General features: G+C 34.6%; 1 protein-coding gene across 14 annotated transcripts in view; it reads right to left on the bottom strand.

The window, feature by feature from the left end:
* Positions 1–22,145, bottom strand: part of GRID2 (glutamate ionotropic receptor delta type subunit 2) — a 1,506,491-nt gene that overhangs the window by 630,402 nt on the left and 853,944 nt on the right. The window contains exons 1-2 of one of the 14 annotated variants that reach the window (XM_047450134.1): positions 14,958–16,348; positions 13,894–13,998 (exon numbers count right to left, since the gene is read on the bottom strand). The exons of 12 other annotated variants lie outside the window; for them this stretch is intronic. The gene's annotated coding sequence lies outside the window, so the exon portion shown is untranslated. Of the gene's footprint in view, positions 1–13,893; positions 14,616–14,957; positions 16,349–22,145 lie in introns of those variants that run through there. One more of the 14 variants, XM_047450135.1, reaches the window with a different exon arrangement.

The raw sequence follows: 22,145 nt of genomic DNA, 5'->3' as shown, positions 1-22,145 counted from the left end.
CTGCTTATGCCTTTTTTCTTCGTTTAAAAAGATTTTAATGGAAGTTCAGTAATGAGAGAACTTCAAACAGCACGTATTCCGAGAGTTAGAATGCAAAATTCAGATTTTATCTTTCTTTAAATACACTAGAGCAGAGGGTCCTGGGAATTTCCTTAGAAAATACTGTGAGGTCAAAACGTGGACCTAGCCAAAACCACCCAAGTTTATGCATCAGTCCCCCCATCGTTTGAAGGAGGTATACATTTATCTGTGTCCATTAGTAGTGTTGTTTGAGAATAAATCTAGATCTACTACTTACTATTTTTGTGGTACCTTGGTTACGTTATTATGTAATTCTTCCAAGCTTCAAATTCCTAGTCTGTTAGGGATCATAATAGTTCTTACCATATTGAATTGTTTTGATGATTAAACAAGTTAATATGTACAAGGTACTTAGCACAATGCCTGGCTCATTGTAAACACTTAATGGAACTTAGTTATTGTTATATTTATTTCATGTATTAGAATTCTGTATATGATTTTCTTCGGGATAAATAATTACCAGTGGGTACTTAAATCTGCTGGACATCATTATCCCACATCATGCGAATAATTTTCAAAATCTATAATAGTACTTACTCCCCAAGACTTTAAGGAAAAACAAGAATAAGGAAAATGACACTTGTACATTTCATTTGATTTTTAACCTTCTGTATTACAGTCCCCAAATGAAATTGTTATTACTGACCTTTGTAGAAAAGATACAGTTACTACGAAGACAAGAAGATATACTAGCTTTCACTCCCATCTACCCTGGCTGCAATTGCTGTGCTGTCCAACAGTGTCTGTGAATTAGATATCAAACTGATTTATGTGGGAAAAAAATGTGTTACAAACCCAACGGTTTCAGATTGAACAAAAGATTTTTCTCTTTGCCATTTGCCTCAGTAGGATTCTCAGCTCAGATCCAGTTCTTCCCAACCCCTCATTAAAGTGACTACATTTTACTAAACCCATCTCCCTGCTCTGTTTTACAGAGTGCCCGCCATCATTTAATTTCATATATCAAGCAAAACTATTAGCATAGGTCCAAATAAAAGAGCCAGAAATCTTGACTTATACCCTAGGTGGTAATCAGCCCACTTTAAGTGAGCTAAGTAGAATACTTGTTACTTTGGGCTACCCTCACAAACTCTCATAGACACTTAATAGAAATAAAAGCTCAGTAATCAAACAGGATATAATGGAACCTAGGTAGGTAGTGTTTACCAGTTAAGAACATAAAGATTTTTTAAAACTCCATTTCTTAAAATGATCTCAGCGCACACACACATTCACACACATCGCATACAGAAGAGAAAACATTCTCTTCTTGAAAACTTTTCAAGGGCTGTGTGTGGTGGCTCACAAGTGTAATCCTAGCACTTTGGGAGGCCGAGGCAGGAGGATCACTTGAGGTCAGGAGTTTAAGACCAGCCTGGGCAACATAGAGAGATCCTCTCTCTGCAGAAAATTAGCTGGATGTATTGGCACGTTCCTGTAGTTCCAGCTAGTCAGGAGGCTGAGGTAGGAGGATCCCTTGAGCCCAGGAGTTCAAGTTACAGTGAGCTGTGATTGCATCACTGTACTCCAGCCTGAGAAGCAGAGCAAGATTCCTCTCTCTGGAAAAAAAAAAAAAAAAAAAAAAAAAAAAAATCTATTTTCAAGGAAAACAATATAAGCACTAAATATAAAAAAAATGATCCTCAGTTTGAGTGTGAGAGAGTGTTAGTTAAGATGAGGACTCTAAGTATCTGGTGAACGTGACACTGCTGTGGTAACCTGGACAGATGGGGCAGAGTCCCATGACAGTGGGTTGAAAAGTGAATAGAGAGTGACAAAGAGGATACAGTAGCTTTCACTTTAAGGATGATTAGTAAGGGAGAATCTATAATAGAAGCCATGGAAGAGCACAGCTTTAAGGAATGGTTACTTGCTCACTAGCTTATATGTTTTTTTTTTTTCAAGTTGAGTAAAACCATACGATAGCTATAGACTGAAGGACGAAGGTAGCAAAGAGAGAGAAATTAAAGGTACAAGCTAAGGGTAAAGAACTGAAAAATCAATGTTTAAAAATGACAAATAGTAGTTTTTTATTTTTAATTTTGAGTCTTTTGTAAATACTTTAAGGGTAAATGACTGTATAGCATTAACATATAGAAAAAGTAATCATTGTAAACAGCTGTACTTATAAAATGTTTGCAGTTGCTAAAACTACTAGTTAATGGTAGTTTAGAAAAAAATAATTTTATTATAAAGGAGCAATGACAACTTTAAATGGGTAGTGATAAAATTTGAAAGAAAAATGATTTTACTACCTAGTTTTAATTTGACAGATTCTATGTACCTGCTGGTTGGCATAAAATATGCTTTAAAATTTTTTCCCTAAAGTTATTTTTATGTTGAATCAACAGTACTCAATGAAAGTATTTCTATTACAATTTAATTTAGAGTTTGTTTCTGAAGTATTGTGAAAAATTTTAATATGATAAAGTAGGAAACACTTTTGCTCAAGAATCGGATATACGTGGGTTTAAATCTTGATTTCTTTGCTCTCTCACCTTTGGTAAGTAACTTAAGCAGGCTAAGCCTCCATTTCTGCATCCATAAAATGAGGATAATGATAGAATGTTTCTCAGATGTGTTTTTGAGGATCAAAGGATTCATCTATGGCATGAAAAGGCTAAAAGCAGGGCCCGGTCAATAAATATTAGCTATTATATTTATTGTTTATTTCTAGTTTGTCTCTTTACTTCTAAAGCACTTCAATCTATATATTTTTTAAAAATGCAAAAAAAAAGAGTTTTTTCAATTCCTCATTTGTATACACTTTGCCACAGAATAGAAGCCACAGGGATTTTGTCCCACTTAATATATGGCTTCATAATCTGAATGATCTTGGGAAAACTGGGATAACTCATCTTGCACACTACACACTAACAGGGAATTATTAAAGGTAGTAACCTAAATTGGATCCATAAATACATCGGTATCACGCAGCAAATTTTTTTCTGCTAGGTAGGAGAACTTACATACTTGTATTGTTATTGGACTCTAATGACAACAAGGTGAGAAACGAAGTCAACATAATTTAGGAGGCTCCTCTCCCTCACTCCGGAAATACACATGGATTTCACAATTCTCGCTATGTTCTATGGAAATCCAAGACAAACATTGTTGTGTATTCACACACACATGAGATATTCCCACTTCAGAGATAACATAAACATAGAGGCAAAGGTAAAATACGGCTGAGAATTCTGTGTTAAACTGGACTTCTGTCAAGAGAGTCTACAAAAAATAATTTAAAAAAGCACAGTAATATTTAAAACATATATTATATTCCTTCAGACACTAAAGACAATGGTCTCAGAAAAGCATAATTTTTAAATGAAAATTTTACCATCATAATATATGATTTTGTTAGATACACTACGGTTACATCCTAAGTGCATTAGAAATTTTAATGGGCTTAGTTCCCTAACTTCTCCCACTAGGAACCTCTACTGTAGACAATTGGCCATGCTACTGACAGAAATGTGAAATGATAAATGTTAAATTCATGTTTTATCTTTTTTGATGTTTATTTTTAATCATTTTTATTTGATAAGACTTCTTTTACTGGAGAGTCAGAATGAACTATCATCTTTCAAAGAATGAAAGGAAGACAATTCTTTCTATTTATGATTTAGGATGTTGTTTCACTTTAGGCTCATCACATTAAAAGCAGTAAGCAAAATGAGATTGGTGAGGAAAAATTTCTTATCACTAACAACTTCTAATTATCCAATCTATAGCTTATTTGGAATATATTTCTTCCAAGTTAATTAATAATGTTTAGATTTTTCTGTTCAATTAAGTTTGTGGTTATCAATTTATTTCTTTTTAAAAAAATCAATTTCCATTATCGGCAGAACATATTCTACTAAAATACCCATTTGCTTATTAACTGTTGATTATTAAACCAATAATTATAATTTGCTTTTATGCACCCATTATTATGACTGCTATTAGCTCCTACTTTGCAGGTATCTAGGAAGATGTTTAAAAGCCAAAGTTAAAGCCTCAAGATTTCTCATGACTGTCTGAGAAAGAGGTCCACTCCTAATGCAGATTCTGAGTGTTGCCCTGAAAATCTATTTATCCTCACATGGTGCTTTGTTGGATTGGAGGGGAAAACTGGGACAGCTTCTCACCTCCTAGAGAACCAGGCTCCTCAAAATAGCTGTTTGAACTAAACTTTTACATATATAATATTTTTTTCAAAACATGGAAAAAGGACTCCAGAACCAATTAAAAAAGATTTCTGACATCTACAATTTCGAATTCTTCTTTCCATGAGTCTAAAAACATCTAAATTTTATTTCTCTAGGAGTTTTATGTATGAAAATTGAGCTTTAAGGAGTAAAAATGTTTTGGCTTATAAATCCCTTGACCAAAATTTTTGGTATTGGATGCATATCTTTGAAAAAGAAAATCCACAGGGCTTTTAAAATATGGTTCAATATACTTTTCAAAAATCTAGTAAGGCCCACATGAAAAGATGTTTATCATTATTAAGCATTATGCTGTGTGCGGTGGCCCACGCCTGTAATCCCAGCACTTTGGAAGGCTGAGGCAGGTGGATCGCTTGAGGTCAGGAGTTCGAGACCAGCCTGGCCAACATGATGAAACCTCGTCTGTACTAAAAATACAAAAATTATCTGGGCATGGTGGTACATGCCTCTACTTCCAGCTACTGGGGAGGCTGAGGCAGGAGAATTGTTTGAACTCAAGAGGCAGAGGTTGCGGTGAGCCGAGATCATGCCACTGCACTCCAGCCTGGGCGACAGAGTTAGATTCTGTCTGAAACAAAACAAAACAAAACAAAATAAAAGGTCTAAAATAAAAAAACAATGATAACATTGAATGCTGTGAGGCTGTGGAAACAATGTGTCACCCACATATTGCTAGTAGGAATATAAAACAATGCAGTTAGCCAAGAAAAAGTGTATGGCAGTTGCTTACAAAATCAAATAGGCACTTACCATATCACCCAGCAATTACACTATTGGACATTTACTCTAGACAAATAAGAAAGTATGTCACACAAAAACCTGCACATGAATTTTAATAGCAATTTCATTCATAACAGCCCCAAACTGGAAGCAACCCAGAGGCTCTGGGTTAAATAAACATTTTAAACTGGTATATTCATGCCATGTATGTTAGCTCAGACTTCTCTGTAAGAAAATACCACACTCTTGGGTGGCATAAACAACAGAAATTTATTTATTTATCACTGTTCTGGAAGCTGGAAGTCCTAGGTAAGGGTGCCAATTAGTTTCCGGTGAGGGCTGTATTCTTGGCTTGCAATAGCCACCTTCTCTCTGTGTCCTTATATGACAGAGAAAAACAGAAATCTCTCTTCCTCTACTTCTAAGGCCCACAGTCCTATCAGATTAGGTCCCCACTCATGACCTCCTTTAACCCGAAAGACCCTATCTCCAGATACAGTCATATCGGGGGTTAAAGCTTCAACATATGAATTTTGGGAGGGACAAAATTCAGTCCACTGCACTATGGACTACTTTGGACTACATGGATTATTACTCAGCCATGAAACAACTTAGATGAATCTCCAGAGAATTCCACTGAGTGAAAAAAAGCCAGTCTCAAAAGGTTACATACTGTGTAATTTCATTTACATAACATGCTTGAAATTACAAAATTATGGAGATCGAAAGTAAATTAGTGGTTGCCAGGTGTCAGGGTTGGGGTTTTGGGGGGAGGTATCTGAGATCATAATAGCACAAAGGAGACTTTAGATGAAATTGTTCTCTCTCTTGGCTGTGGCGGTGATCACATGAAACTACACATACAATAACACTGCATTGAGTTAAACATACACATACATACACAAAGGAGTGAATGTAAGACTTGTGAAATCTGAATAAGCTCGATGGATTATATCAATACCAGTTTTCTAGTTTTAATATTGTGCTCTTGTTATGTAAGACGAAATCCAGGGAAGGGTATACTTGATTACTCTATATTATTTCTCATGACTACCTGTGAATTTTTAATTACCTCTAAATACAAAATGCATTTAAAAATCCTAAAAGAAAAATCCAGGCTGGTTGCAGTGGCTCAACACTTGTAATCCCAGCGCACCAAGGCAGGCAGATCGCTTGAACTCAGAAGTTAGAGACAGGCCTGGGCAAATAGCAAGACCCTGTCTCTACCAAAAACATATAAAAATGAGCTGGGTGTGGTGGCACATGCCTATAGTCCCAGCTGCTTGGGAGGATGAGGTTGGAGGATCACTTGAGACCAGGGGGTGGAGGTTGCAGTGAGCCATGATCACACCACTGCACTCCAGCCTGGGCAACAGAATGAGACGTCTCAAAAAACAAACAAACAATAGAACTAACAAGGACAATTTTATGTAAGCCAAGTTATGATAATAAGTTGGTTGTGTTTTCTTACATAGGATATTAACATGGAAGTTTTATATTTTATCATCAATTCCAAGCTTATCAAATTTAAAAATCTTTAGTAAGCATGGGCTCTGCCTTTCTTGATTGCCATTTCTTTTTATCTCTTCCTCCCTCCCTCTCTTTCTTCTTTCCTTCCTTCCTTCCTGTCCTAGGATATAATGAGCTAGGAAATAAATTTCAGCTCCTAAGAGATGAAAGACTCATAGCTGTTAGTCTATTATAGCACTAATATGCTCTATGACAAATTCTCAGTTCTTAAAAATGGTGCTTAAAAATGGGAAAAAAGACTGTTTTTTTCCACTTTAATATTGAGAAACCTCTCTTGAATCTGACTGGAATTTGGTCAAAAAAATCTATTGGATTAATTTTCTAACTAGTTTCTTAAGCACAGCACATTAAGAAAATCAATTCATCTAAATAGTCTAATTATACATATAAATAAAAATAATGTCTTGATTTTTAAGGCAATACAATTTCCTTCTAACTCTTCAATATAGCCAATGAAATAAAAAGTGAAACATGTTGTTAAGAACAGAAAAATAATATTTTCTTCATGAAATATGCCTCATTTCTAATTAGTGATGTTTTCCTAAGAGAAAGAAACTTGGCAGAGCAATAGTGAATCATTGAACTGAAAAAAAAAAAAGTTTAAGATGTGATATTTTTAAAGATGCAATTCAAATATTCAATCTCATTATCAGTTAACTTTATTTTCCCCAAACTTTAGTAATTTGAATCAAAACTTCTGAGACTCATTTGGTCTTGGTGCAATTAAAGTTTCTCTTTATCTTAACTTAGATTCTTTAAAGTGGCAGTATGCTTTCTGCAATATAGCTATAACTCTTTTTAAATAGTTGTTTTGGAATCAACCCATTCACAAATGTGTGGGTCCATTGTATTATGTTTTTGATTAGATATATTTTCCAATAGCAACTGTCATTATTTTCTTTTTTTTTTCTTTTTTTTGAGATGGAGTCTCGCCCTGTCGCCCAGGCTGGAGTGCAATGGCTGGATCTCGGCTCACTGCAACCTGTGCCTCCCAGGTTCAAGTGATTCTCCTGCCTCAGCCTTCCAAGTAGCTGGGATTAAAGGCACGTGCCACCATGCTTGGCTAATTTTTTGTAACTTTAGTAGACACGGAGTTTCACTATGTTGGCCAGGCTGGTCCCGAACTCCTGGCCTTGTGATCTGCCTGCCTGGGCCTCCCAAAGTGCTGGCATTATAGGTGTGAGCCACCGCGCCTGGCCAATTCTCATTATTTTCATCAGAAATAATGGCAAATGTTCCCAACCTGACAGCTTCAGCCTGTCAGTATCCATGACAATAGAATATCAGACATTAGCAGGTCCTTTGACTACCACAAAACTTAAGAACACATCACTGGTAATGTAGACTTCAGAAGCATTTTAATTGAACAATTCTTGTGGTATATGTTTTTAAACTTGTAGGTGAAGATGAAATATATTGACCTGAGGTCAGGAAGGATATCATGGCCCAATTTGCCCCAAATTTCTGTTATTAAATAGATAATTCATATGACCTCAAATAGTAAACTAATAGGAAAATCACTGGGATATAATGATAATCTAGCAATTTTCCAATTAACAAGTTGGCTTTAGAGCTATATTGAAATGTGATGACTTTGAATCTCTTTACTAACACACCTCTGGTCATATGAAGCTATGGCTATAAAATCACTAAAAGAACTATGAACTTGAGTGTGCGGGACTTCAATTTACTTTCTAACACTAATTAGTTATATAATGCTAAGTAAATCATTGAGCGATACTGAGCATTATTTCTTTTATTTTGGAAATAAATAACAATATATGCCTATATGAGAGTAATTATTTTCTCTTTCCATGACATCCTTTTCTTCGTAAACCTCCTCTTCCTATGGCCCTCCACTGAACAGGAATGGTTGATTGGGTCCTACGTGGACAAGTTATTTAACAAACATTTATTTGGAAGCCTGGTTTAGGACACAATTGACAAAAATCTGTTTGTTCATGAAGCTTACATTCTGGTGAGATGTCAAAGGAATAGAGGGATATAATAAACATATAGTAAAATATATAGAATGTTAGATGAGGATAATTTCTTAAGAGAAATTTAAACTGTGGAGCAAGCTTAGGGAATATTGGGAGAGGAATTTCAATTTTAGATAGTCAGAAAAAGCCTCATTGAGAAGACAATGTTTAAACAAAGAGTTGGAGAGAGTGAGGGAGTGAGCCATGCAGCCATCTCAGGGAAGAACATTTAAGTCAGGAGGAAAGACCACACAGTTGAGAATGTACCTGGCACATGTGAGAAAAAGCAAAAAGTCTGTATTGCTGGAGCCAAGTGAGTAACATAAAGAACAAAATGTTAAAAGATCAGAAAGGTAATGGGTTGAAAGTAGGTAATACAGAACCATGTAGATCATTGCAAAGCCTTTTTATTTTACTACAAGTGAGATAGGAAACCTGACCAGAGAAGTGACATGATCTAAATTTTTAAAAGATGATTCTACTTTTTGTACTGAGTATAAACCGTAGGTGGCATGGGCAGATGCAAAGAGATGAATAATCCAGGCAGGAGTACATGATGGTTTGGCCTAGACAGTAGTGCTGAAGTACCGAGCAGACATTATTTTCTGAGTATATTTAAAAGTAAAGCTAAATGGAATAGTTCTTGAATTGCATATAGGTTAAAAAAAAAAAAGAATCAAACATGACTCTAAGGAAAATCGTCATTGAAATTTGGTCATTTTACATTTTAAAGCCTATTTGACATCTAAGTGGATGTGCGCAATAGGCAGTCGGGTATGTAAGACTGTAATTCAAAGGAGAAGTGTATGCTGGAAACAGTTACCCAAAGCTGCGCCAATCAGATCCTCTTTCTGGGAATTGGATTTATGACACAGAAACAGATCTTGGTTGACATTAGAGTTTGATGTATAGAATTTGGGTCAGAATTAATGCCCCCAAAATGCAAAACCAAAATAAAACTGCTATTATGGCGAAGCAGGAACTGTCTGGTAGAGAAACCTATCTATATCTCAATGGAAATAAGAATGAAACACACATCCGGATGTGATGTGCACCCAAGCCCAGAGAAACATCAGATGACCAGAGATATGACTGACATTGCTGCAACTGGATTCCATTGTTTATTACAATTAAAAAAGGGGGGGGCCCAGCACAGTGGTTCATGCCTGTAATCCCAGCACTTTGGGAGTCCAAGGCGGGTGGATCACTTGAGCCCAGGAGTTTAAGACTAGCCTGGCCAACGTGGCGAAACCCCATCTCTAATAAAAATACAAAAATTAGCCGGGTGCATTGGCTTAAGCCTGTAATTCCAGCAACTTGAGTGGCTAAGGTAGGAGAATTGCTTGAGCCCAGGAGGTGGTGATTGCAGTGAGCCAAGACCGCGCCCACTGCACTCCAGTCTGGGTGACAGGAGTGAAACCTCTGTCTTAAAATAAAATGGTTATGTGATGATGTGAAGTTTGTTTTACTTGAAATCTAATTATTGCCAAAAAACATAGCCTATACAAGGCATGATGAAAATAATAACATTCATTGTTTTCCTTTTCAAGTTAAACCTGTGTTATTGTACAGCTTGAAACATACTTGAATATGATGAAATTTTGCATATTTATAAGTGTCATTCAAAATCACTTGATTCCTTCAGTGAGAATTTTTACAGATATCTCAGTAGAAGTTTGGATTGTTTTCTTGATTCCTGCAATTACATTTAGGTGAAATTTGCCTCTAGATGTAGGATAATTGAATCCATTCACCCTTAAGTCATGTTTGAGAATGTATGAGAAGCTCAAGCCACAATAAGCTATTCAGCACAAGTGGGCACATTGAGCTTTAGTGTATAAAATGTTTTATACACTTCAATCTTGTAAATTATTCTGTACATTCAACCACTGAAAAATAACTCCTTCTCTATTTCTGTGATATAAAGGATGCTTTTAAAGAGGCTTGCCCTTTATAATATTTGACCCTTGGCAATGACTCCTATTTTAGGCAATCTATGTATATTGACTATATCTGCTTCTTACTGAGAAAATATCAAGCAATCAAATATTGAATACATTAGGGCTAATTTGTTATATAAACAACAAAGTTAGTAAATCACTGGACATTAAAATCTTGGTAAGACTGTGAATATCATATTTTCGAGACTACTTGTCAAATTACTAAGTTGTATATAACTATTTTTGTATGTATTTTAGAAAGAATCAAAGTTTTTCAAGATAATTTGCTATATTTCAACTGGGTGTGAAAGTACATCAATAAAGACACATATTTCTGGTTTGTGTGCTCAAAAATAGGCAATAAATATTTTCTATAATTTTTACACTTAGCCTATTTTAAGTTTGTGTGTGTGTGTGTGTGTGTGTGTGTGTGTGTGTGTGTGTATTTCATTGTGTTGAAAAAAGCCACTTGGAAGAATAATATAACTTTCAGGGAAGGAGTGAATACATGTTCTTTTTATTCACTGTTTTTTAAAAAATAGTACTTGAGGCCACTGAATGATCCCCTAGTCATCTGAGGGAATATTTAAATAATGCTCTGTTTCTATAGTTTGAAAACTGACCTAGAACTAAGAAGGTAAATAAAATATTAACTTTTATTTTAATTGTTATCCTACCAGTGTCCTTTTGCTCAGAGCCAAATGCAGCAAGTTTCATGGGCACAAATGGACCACATTTTCAGTACTGGTGATTATAGTGAAAGTATTTTTATGCCAGAAACTGGGTTGATTTAAGAAGTAACCCTAGAAATTATATATGTAATAGCTTTCATATAAAATTTGATTCCTTAAAAAATGAGTATCTCTAGTCACGGTTCTGTTTCTCTTTTTCTGTAAGATCTTAAGTTGAAGCTAAAGACTCTGTTTTTATTTTTGCTAAGAGCAAGGAAATAGCCAAAACAGAGTCAACTCCAATTGCCCATGTTTAAATTTTAAAAGAGATGACTATTATTTATTTATATAACTAATAAATTAATTTATGGAATCCCATGATTTCTTATTAATAGTACATTCTACTTGTAGTGATATATTTTTTATCTATTTGTTCATTCTTTTGACTGGCTAACTAAATATACATATATATACACACATTTTTGAGCTGCTTTCTTGAAGTAAGACGTATAGCTAGTGAGAGAAAACTGTCCTTATCTAATGAGATTTCATCTAAAACTTTTTAATGATGCCTTTATTATGGTGAATTTGAAATATTAACAAAAGTCTTTCTTTCTCTTTCTTTCTTCCCCTTTCCTTTCCTTTCTCTTTCTTTCTTCCCCTTTCCTTTCCTTTTCTTTCCTTTCCTTTCCTTTCCTTCCCTTTTCTTTCTTTTGAGATAGAGTCTCACTCTGTTGCTCAGGCTGGAGTGCAGTGCTGCGATCTCAATCACGGCTCACCGCAAACTCTGCCTCATGGGTTCAAATGATTCTTATGCCTTAGCCTCCCAAGTGGGTGGGATTACAAGAGTGCACCACTACACCTCGCTAAGTTTTATATTTTTAGTAGAGATGGTTTCTTTTGCCATGTTGGTCAGGCTGGTCTTGAATCCATGACCTCAAGTGATGCACCTGCCTCGTTCACCCAAAGTGCTGGGAATACAGGTGTGAGCCACTGCACCCAACCATATATATGTTTATATTTATATACTCACCACCACCACCCTAAGTTACTTTGAAACAAATCTATAAAATTTTTCAGAATGCATCTCTAAAATATTAGAAATTTTAAAACATAATCCAAATACTAAAATCATACCTAGAAAAAAAATGATTTCTTAATATCATCAAGTTTTCAGTTAATGTTCAAATTTTCAAATAACTCATATATAAATTAATTTTGCAGCTCATTTGAATCAGTATCCAAATAAAGTACATGTGTTACTATGTGTTAAGTTTTTCTTTTTAGTGTATTTTAATCTATAGGCTCATCCTTCATTACTCTTTTATTTCCTTTCTTGCCATTTTCTGTTGGTGGTGGTGGTTGTGTTGCAGAGAAACCTAATATCTATTTTCAAAAAAGGAGCCTACCCAAATTTAAGCACATTCAGGGAAGAGACCTCAGGATGCAATATAGACTTTTAAAAACGATATAGAGAACTACTAAAATAACTAAGACAACAAAAACCAGGTGACTAGCATACCTTGATGGATTTGATAGTTGTTGAAGTCAAAATAAAAATTAGCACCAAGGAGCAGGCTGCTGGTTGGAATCTCTTTGGAGACAGATCTGTATCAATATAACTGTGCAACAACTGGAGCCATCAAACAAGGAATGGGGTGCCTCTAGAGTATGAATTTGTCATTGAAGCAATTCAAGAGTAACTTCAAAAAGACACAATTTCTTTTAAAATAATGAGAAACAACAATTGCTTGCTGTGTCTCAGAACAAAGCTGGAATTCAAACAATTTTTACATTCCCTTTCTGATGTTATTTACTCTTCTTGCTGTCACTTTCACTACCTCTCTTATGAAACATACAAGATTTTTACTCTCTCACCGCCACCATGCACACAACTTGCTCCCATTAACTGTAGTGGTAAGTGGATTAGTAAAATAATTGTCAATGCACTGCCTCTCTCCTGACTTAATGGACTACAAATTGAAGGCTCATTACAGAGCATCTGCTTAGTGGAGCCCAAATCATATCTAGCAACCTATGAGCTAGCACACTGGTTTAGATTCTCAAAGCAGACTCACGAGAATCAGAGACCTTACTCAGTAGTAACCTAGTACTTATTTCAAGGAGACAGACAAGAAAAGCCTCAGACCAAGCACAGAGAGAACAGACATTAAGGGTGGTTCCCCAGGTTCTTCCTTCTCATGTCTGACAAGCAGCTCTGGCCAGAAGAGATTATATCCCTGCATTATCCCTACATGAGGCTTCTGGGATTCCTCATAAAGCAGTGATTGTTAAATTCTGAAACATCTTCATTTTATACTCCAGATAGTTCTATAGTTTATGTGTGGCATTCCTTACAGATGGCCATGCCTTACCGATACAGGGTTATGTTTACTAAGTTTCATTATTCTTTGCCAGCACATCATGCTGACAGCATTGCAGAGATAAGGTCTCTTTCTCCAAATATTTTTAGTCCATTTTCCTGGATGTCCAGCTGACAAGGAGAATAGACCCAGGTCACCTGACTTCTTTTCTTTCCCACAGGTGATGTTCTCCAAATGAAGGGAGTGTAGAGAGAGCAGACCAGTGGCTATAACTCCTTCTACCCACTTTAGATGTTGGGGTTTGAGAAAATGTAAATTTTTAGCTTTAAAGTGTCAACAGCATAAGAAACACTTTAATAGATAGATACTAAAATTTTTAGCTAACAAATTACAGTCCACTACAATTTTTCATTCACTTTATCTTTACTCACGTATGTTAGTGTTTAAATGCTAGCTCCAATTCTCTCTTTCCATGTGGAAATCATGAAGACTGCAGGCTATGTGAATCCCACTCAACTTTCATTTGCTCCTTTTACCTAAAAGATACAACTAGTATTTTATAACGTAATGCCTTATAAGTGCCTATACATATGATTTAGTGCTTTAAGATAAAACACCTTTAATTTGCTAGTATTCTCCACTCCTAGTATTGTAACAATATAGATATTCAATGCAATATTGGTTGAGTATTAATAAATACAAATGACATTCCTCTAATTTTCAGTGTTTAAATTTCTGCTCCCTATTTGTGGTTCTAATAGGTGGTTTTGCGCCGTCCATCAATCTTCCAAGCTTTAAGAAGCACCTCCTGTCTGCACAGTATTTTTAATTAAAGGGAGTCCTTTTAATTATGGAATGTTCATTTATGTTAAGTTGCTACTATTGTTGATAAGACTCAGCTCTGATATGAAAAAGCAGATACTCTGAGAGAAAGAGGAGTTAGCGCAAAACTAAAACATCATGCTTCATGCCTTCTCCTTTGGGACTCTGCTCTTAGGGAAGCTCTTTTGGAAGAGTCATAACAGGCACACCAAGTTTTCCTATTCTGATTCTCTGCTGTCAACAGTTCCCTCCTTTCATTTACTCTCTCCAGTTTCACTACTGTAAGACACCTGAAAGGAAAGTCAGGGAGGTAAATGACAGAGGATTCTCATATCTCCTCTTTCCTGTGTCCCCTCTGTCTTAGATTCATTTATTCTAATCTTTAGCAATCCCACACTCTATTAATAACCTTGACTTTGGCTATATTTAGGGGCTTCTGCTCAGGCTCCTGGTCTTTTCTTCTCTTTGCAGTATGAATTTATAGAAAAGAACAACAACCTACTATGACATTGCTCTCTCTTTTTCCTTTCCTCTCCTTCCGCCAGTTGTAAGTTGCCAAGTCTGAGGACTAACAGTTGATGTGATATCTGCTTACATAATAATAACAAAATAATTTATATTTCTTTGCAATTGCTAGTATTAGGCACTGTGTTAAACCCTTTGCAGGAATTACCTCATTTAATTATCCCAACAATCCTATGAGGAAGTTATTATCTCCATCTTCCAGATGAGAATGCAGCCTTCAGAGAAACTGAAAAACTTCTCCAGGGTCTTCCTGCTAAGCAAGGATATGAACACAGGTGTGTGAAATAACAGTGCTCATACTCTGAACTCTTACGTCATAGTGCCTCTCTGGAAAGGGGCTGCAGATACGTTATTTTCCTTAACACGTCAATATCAGAGGTACGCATGAATTAGAGAACAGTAGTCAAAGCTTACTTTATTTACTCCAATTGTCACGTAAGTGTCTGTGCTCTGGCATGAAAACAAAAATCACTCACATTCTTTCCTCCCTAAGTGTTTTTCTAAAACGACATCTGAAAAATGAAAGGAAAAAAATTAAGCATATTTTGTCACTTTTCTCCCAAAGCTAGATTCCTCAAACAAGGATAACCGGTATTTTCATTTTTTTCCCCTACCATTCGTTTGATACTATTAAAAGTCAACATAGAGCCTAAAAACAGCTGACTTCTCAATAAACTTATTTCTAGACTAATTTTGGAAGGACAAAAATCAGAGAAGCATAAATTTTTAAAGGTCCTGGTTTTGTTTCTAAATTTAAAATAACTGCATGTTTTATGACTATCTCAGCTGTGTTTTAAAAAATTATTCCCAGGAATGAGCCTTGTTATATTCTGAGTTTAATTTGTCTTGTAATAAAACTTAGATGCTTTTCTGATGCCACTACTCAGTGCTGCTATCCTTACTCACTTTAGCCCGTTACATCTGCTCTTCATTCTCATGGAGAAGAAAATCAAACCAGGGTTATCTTAGTCCCAAAGTCATGCTCTTAAAATCTATTTATGTCGCTTTCTACAATTTCTGCTGAGCCATCTGTATTGTTCGGTATTTCCCTCTGTTTATTTTCTTTTCTAAATTACCTTTTTTTTCCCCCCCCGGGCTTGGTTTTTCGCCTGTCACACATCTCTCATCTAGCCAGAATACATTAAGGCCCTATTTATATACCAAGCACAGTAAAGAAAACCAAGTTCACGTGTGATGAACTTACAGTCCATGGATAAAGAGAACTAACTTAATAGGTAATTATAAGACAATGTGAAGAGGGATAGGAGTGGGGCAATTACCTAAGGAGGGATCCTGATTCCATGCTATAACTTCTGTATTAATCTAAAAATCCATATAATGTATTCTGAGTCTCCATGTTTGTCATCCCAAATTCATAACTCTTACATTCTGTCCAGTACTAGTTATGTTACAGGGGCATTTGCAGGTAGCCTTAATATTAAGCCACAGTCTACTATTTCTGCCCAAACTTATTTTCCAGACTAGTAGCCACTCCTACCAATGTTACATGACATTGTTCCTTAAGTAATTAAAATTTCATATGGTTTTACTTCTTTTTTTGGCTAAATATTTAATGACAGCCCATCATAAAAAATATACAGTCATAAGAAATGTCTATTTTGAACTACTTCTCTTTTTTTAAATTCTGCTAAATTTTTTTCTTGTTATTAAAAAAAAAAAACTGGCAAGTGCAGTGATTCACACCTGTAATCCCAGCACTTTGGAAGACTGAGGTGGGAAGATCACTTGAGCCCAGGAGTTTGAGACCAGCCTGGGCAAGATGGCAAGACCTCGTCTCTATTTAAAAGAGAGAGAGAAAATATACATGTATGTATATATATAGTGTATATATATATATATATATATATATATATATATATATATATATACACAAAAAAAAAATCAGAAGTGGAAAATAAAGGCATTTATAATCTTACTGTCTTGAGATAACCACTCTTGATATTTTGGTTTATATGCTCCATAATGTTCTTAGATTAATGCACATAAAAATTAAATCACATTGTGGGGCTGTTAAATACACATATAATTTGTATATGTATTTAAATAACACATCTTGACAGAAAAATGTTAATATTAATTCTAAGATATTTGTTTACAACAAATGTATACACACAACCTGAAAGGAATGTGTATGTTATTTACCATGGAATATTTTTGATTTTTTAAAAAAGAGGATACTTCCAAGATGTGTGTTTTAAAGTAAATGTATAAAACAGAAAGAAGCAGATTCAAAAGAGTTGCTAAAACTATTATGCTCTAGAAAATGCGGTAAGTGCTTTTATTCCTGTGTGGGCCAGCATGAATGAATACCAGCCCTTCTCTTTTCTCTTCATTTAATCTTGCACAGCATTCAATATTGTGTTTTGAGCTGTCTCATATTGCCTCTTGGGTGTTCTATTATCTTTCTTATTTGACCATGATGAAGATGGAACTCCTCATATTTCCTTCAAAATTCTTGCTTCTTTCTAATTATTGGTACAGTCATCATTCTTTCTAGGATACCCTTCTCCAGATAGCACATTTTAACATTTCAAGGAATTCTACATGTAAAATGTATGTAACAGACAAAAATGATTCCAGGTTGATGATGTACCTGTAAAATAAATTCATTAGTCCAGTTGTATAATGATAAATTATGGGTTGCTAAGCTTACAGACAAGATTTTATTAAATTATAAAGTTGTTAAAAAGGAATATACAAACACACACTGATATAAAGAAAACACAAGAAGGAAGCTACTGAGCTGAAGCACAATATTTTTATTCCTCGCTAACACAGGCCTATCCTTATTTAAATCTCAACAATTTGAAGAAACTACTATGTGGTAAGCTGACATGTTTATTATATTTTAAAGGAGCTTCTATGTCACTAATAGGCATGAAAATTGTAACTAATTTAATTCAGCGTTAATTCTTCAATAAATGTATTTGAATATATACAATTTAATTAAGCACTGTCTTCATATTCAGTGTTAATTTATGGTAACTTATTACAATTCTGATAAAATTGTTATCTGTCAGTCTGCCTAAGATTTTTTTCATTCCAGAGGATTCAGAGATCAAATTTCTAAAATTCACAAAGAATAAGGAGGGCTTTCCTCAAATGGGATGCTTTCCACTATGACAGTCCTAACATGATCATCATGAGAAAAACCTCAACTGGCCTGTTCCAAAGAAATGTTATTAGGATTTCAAGGCTTTTCTGGAAATGTTAGGGAGATCATTTTTTGGAAATATATTAGAAATTGACTAAATTGCTGCCATAGTCAAAATAAAAATTGGAATGTCTTAAAAATTAAATTCCAGCAGATTTTATGAGATAAAAAATTAGAAATAACTATAGATATTAATAAGAAAAACTTAAAGTATAAAAGAAAACATAATTGGTAAAAACTTAAAATATTTTTAACTTTAGTAAGCACAATTTACACTGCAAAAATTGCAGGAAGGGGGGAGAATTTTGCTATATTAAAAATAAAACTTATAAGGCAAACTGGAATTGGAGATGATAGTTTCAGTCACATAAAAACTATGATTTACACATTTTTAAAATTGTTATTTTTTTTACCCTGAAAATCTTAGTGTTGAGTCTGGTGCTTAATCTTCACAGTATTTCAAAATCTGGTCTAAAGACCACATGAACGATAATTATGTAGTAAGTTTGTTAAAAATATAAATTACCATGTACAGCTAATTATTTAAAAACTATTTAGGGCACAGCTGTAATAGAAAATAAGGCATTAAAAAGGATGTGGGAATTAGAAGCTCAAATTCCTTCAAATATTAATTAAGGCCTTTCCTAAGAAAGTAGTGAGATATACTCAGTTCTAAACTCCAGTAATAATGAAGAATGTGAAGAAATTCAGAAAGGTCACAGAAATGATGAGAGGCTGGAAAATTACATTTCTGCTCAAACCTCAGAAGTTAAAGGCAAAGCCATACTTCTATTGCTTGATTTCTAAGAGGTCAAAATTCTGCTAGGGCTTAAATAAAAGTTTCTCAGAATCTCTCTCTTTCCCTTTCTCTGTCATTGCAAATATATGTACTGTTCCTTAAATCCTTTTTAAATTTGCATTATGATGTAAACTTTTTCCAGTAAAATAAGGAATAACTTTTGTCAAAGACTGAGAAAATGATGACTGTATGATATGCTACCGCTACAGTCCTAAACAGCCATTAGCTTCACCTGCCCTGACATGGAGCCTAGTACTGTCACCATATACATCATTTCTTTAGACTGAGGCAGTTTTGCAACTGGACATTTTATTTTTTCTTGGCCATCATTCAGTGTTAATACCATTCTGGTGTAGACAAAGTGTTGTCAAATTTTAATGCATATAAAAATCTTGTTAAAATGCAGATTCAGGTTCAGTAGATCAGCTTGGTGCCTAAGAATATGCATTTCTAGCTAGTTCCCAGGTGACAGTGATACTACTGGCTTATGATCCACACTAATATCAATTTACTTATGAGCCCACAATTTACTAATAACAGCTCTATTAGAGAAATGCCTACACGATACAGAATGAACCCATATTTTATCCCATTAAAGAGGGCTAACAAGTGTCCTAATTGTAGACAGCGGAATGGGATCTTCCTAAGGAGATTGCTCCAGTATCTTTTTGAGTGCTATGATTTCGCAGAGGAGAGGGGAAAGGAACCTTGCCAAAAAGCAAAGGTAGAGGGGGACTTGGAGGACACAGAACACCAATTTCACTGAAAACACAATTTTTTAGCATTGTCATCACTCAAAGAAATTGGATTTGGGCTAATAAGGTAAGACTAACAAAATTATATTTGTTTAGCTATTGTCACTTTTATCTCTTGAAGTAAACAAACTTTTTTTTAAGACTCGAGACGAACTGGAAAACTTTATTTTTTGTATTTTTCATTTGTGGTTTTTCAAATAATTTTTTCTTAAGCATTCAATGATATTACCTTATCTATATTGATTACTGTACAAATTTTAGGCTTTATGGAATTAATAATCATGACCTGTGTTTCACAATTCTTGTTTCCTTGTCAATCCAAAAAGGAATGCTCATGGCCTGTGTTTTACAACTCACGAATTATCCATACAGTTTTCCCATGTGGAACAGAATATGTATTTTATCTGGTATTGTTTAACTGTGAAAATATGTGCCAAAGATTATCTATATATCCTTTGAGTTACAGATAGATAACTCATTCTATTCTCATTTCATAATGAATACCTAAGTTCAAACACATTCTAGGATAACAACTGAGATGTGAGTGACTTCTACGGGAATGAGATGATCAAACTGTATATATTTTTGCCTTTTCAAAAATAAAATAGCTACAGAAATTCACTAGTATTTTTTAAATAATGGAATTAATTCTACTTTAGTTTTGTACAATTATCCTACCCCCATCTTGTCTTTGTAACTCAAAATTCAATTTTATTTGATGCATCTAGTGATTTGTACTGATAATACTAAATAAATGATGTCTTTGCTAAGAACTTAATCTCTAGAAGTACACTGAAACAGAAAAGCAAAAAAAAAAAAAAAATGCAGATGGAAAAAAATTCTTATCTGTCTTATTTTCAGTGTTTAAAATGAAAAATAATGAAATTAAAAAACTTAATCCTCTCTAAGTGTTACAGTAGCTAAGACTCTTCTGTATTAGTAATCTTTCTTTTACTATATCAGCTTATTATAAAAAAGATAAATGAGATAAATTTAGGTGCACAGGAAATGGCAGATTGCTCATCCTCAATTCCTTTTCAAAAGCACTAAAGAGACAGAATAGGCATGATGAAGGAGCATCCTATCTGCAATATAAGCAAATGACTGGATGACTCAAAAACACTCAATAACTTGAATACAATAATCTTATGTTGCTTTTCTCAGCACTATGATTCTTAGCTTCTACAGATAGTCCTGGATCCAGCACTCCTTGAAACATTGGTTGGAAGTAAAGTTATGGGCTCAGATTAGCCTGCCAGTCAATAACCTTACAGAGTCGGCCTTATTGATTCTTTAGTAATTTGACCAGTACAAGTACAATCATCTATTTCCTCAAGCCATTTCATTCTTTTCCACTGTGTAGGTGGAGGCCAGGCAACTGCTAGGAAATTTAGCACAGCTTGCGAGGAGTATTTTATGGGGACATGGACTCAGCCACCAGTAGAAAAAAAAAAAGCACAAACTGATGATACCATTAAAATATTGTTGCCAAGTAATTATATAGTACAATTCCATAAGGCAAGAATAATGGCCAATGAATCTTTGTACCAAAGCAACATAAAAATGAGTGGTTTTTAAATGTAACATTTAGAGTCAGTCTAGAATCAGGTCTAAGCTCAACTTAATAGCACTGTTATCTTCAGCACCTTCTGAAAAAAAAAAGTCTTATAAAGTCATTTATTGTTTGGCAAATCTGTTGGTGTAAACCTCTTCATTCAGTCTCATCTGAGACACAGACTTAGGTTTCCCACTTCATAGAATAATCTACACATATTCCACATTCTGTCAAAGACAGCTGGAGTTCAAATAATTGCTTTGCCAAACTCGAACTCCAGAGCTCTTCAAATGGTAGATCGTTGTATTCCTAGATGTAGGTATTTGTGTGTGTGTGTGGTTTTAAAATCATTTATTTAACAAAGGAGTAGAAGTTCAGAATTACAAAAAAAATGCAAATATGACAGATATGGAAATGACTTTTCTGCAAGGTAAGGTAGTATGGTAGAAATTGAGAGTTTTAAAAAACCACATATGTACCTGGCCCTAATAAATTGATTCAACCTTCTCCTTTCTCTTTCCCCAGCATCACACTAAATGAAAAGCTATCATGTGACAATGAGAAGCAAAAACAGATTTAGATAATGGTACTATTGGAGGCTTCACCTACTTCAAAAGAATTTCATGTTTTAAAAGGCACATATCAAGGATAAATGTAAAATGATAAAACTTCTCATGAAGAGTATTCGCTGCTTCAGCTCTCTATACAAACATACATTATTCTCTATCCCTCCCTAGCTCCTGCATAACGAATTGCAGCAGAGAACACAAATTATCTTTCCCTCTAGTGGCAGAAAAGTCTGCAAAATGACATATCTCACAAATGGTGAAAACAAACAAAACTGACAACTTTTGCTGTCACCTTAAAGAAAATGCTGTGTGATTGAGAAAGTTGTGTAATAGAGGATGACTAGTTTGCATTTATTAACATATAGCTTTCTTTATGTCCTAAAATAACACTACATGTGCAACTGTAGTCATGCTTGGCTTAACGCTCTGTTATTTCTGTCTTAAAATTTTAATAATTTTATGTTTGAGCTTGGGTTTTGTAAG

This window comes from Homo sapiens, chromosome 4, assembly GCF_000001405.40.
Source record: "Homo sapiens chromosome 4, GRCh38.p14 Primary Assembly".
Taxonomy (NCBI): Eukaryota; Metazoa; Chordata; class Mammalia; order Primates; family Hominidae; genus Homo; species Homo sapiens.
This window is presented reverse-complemented; position numbering and strand designations above follow the sequence as displayed.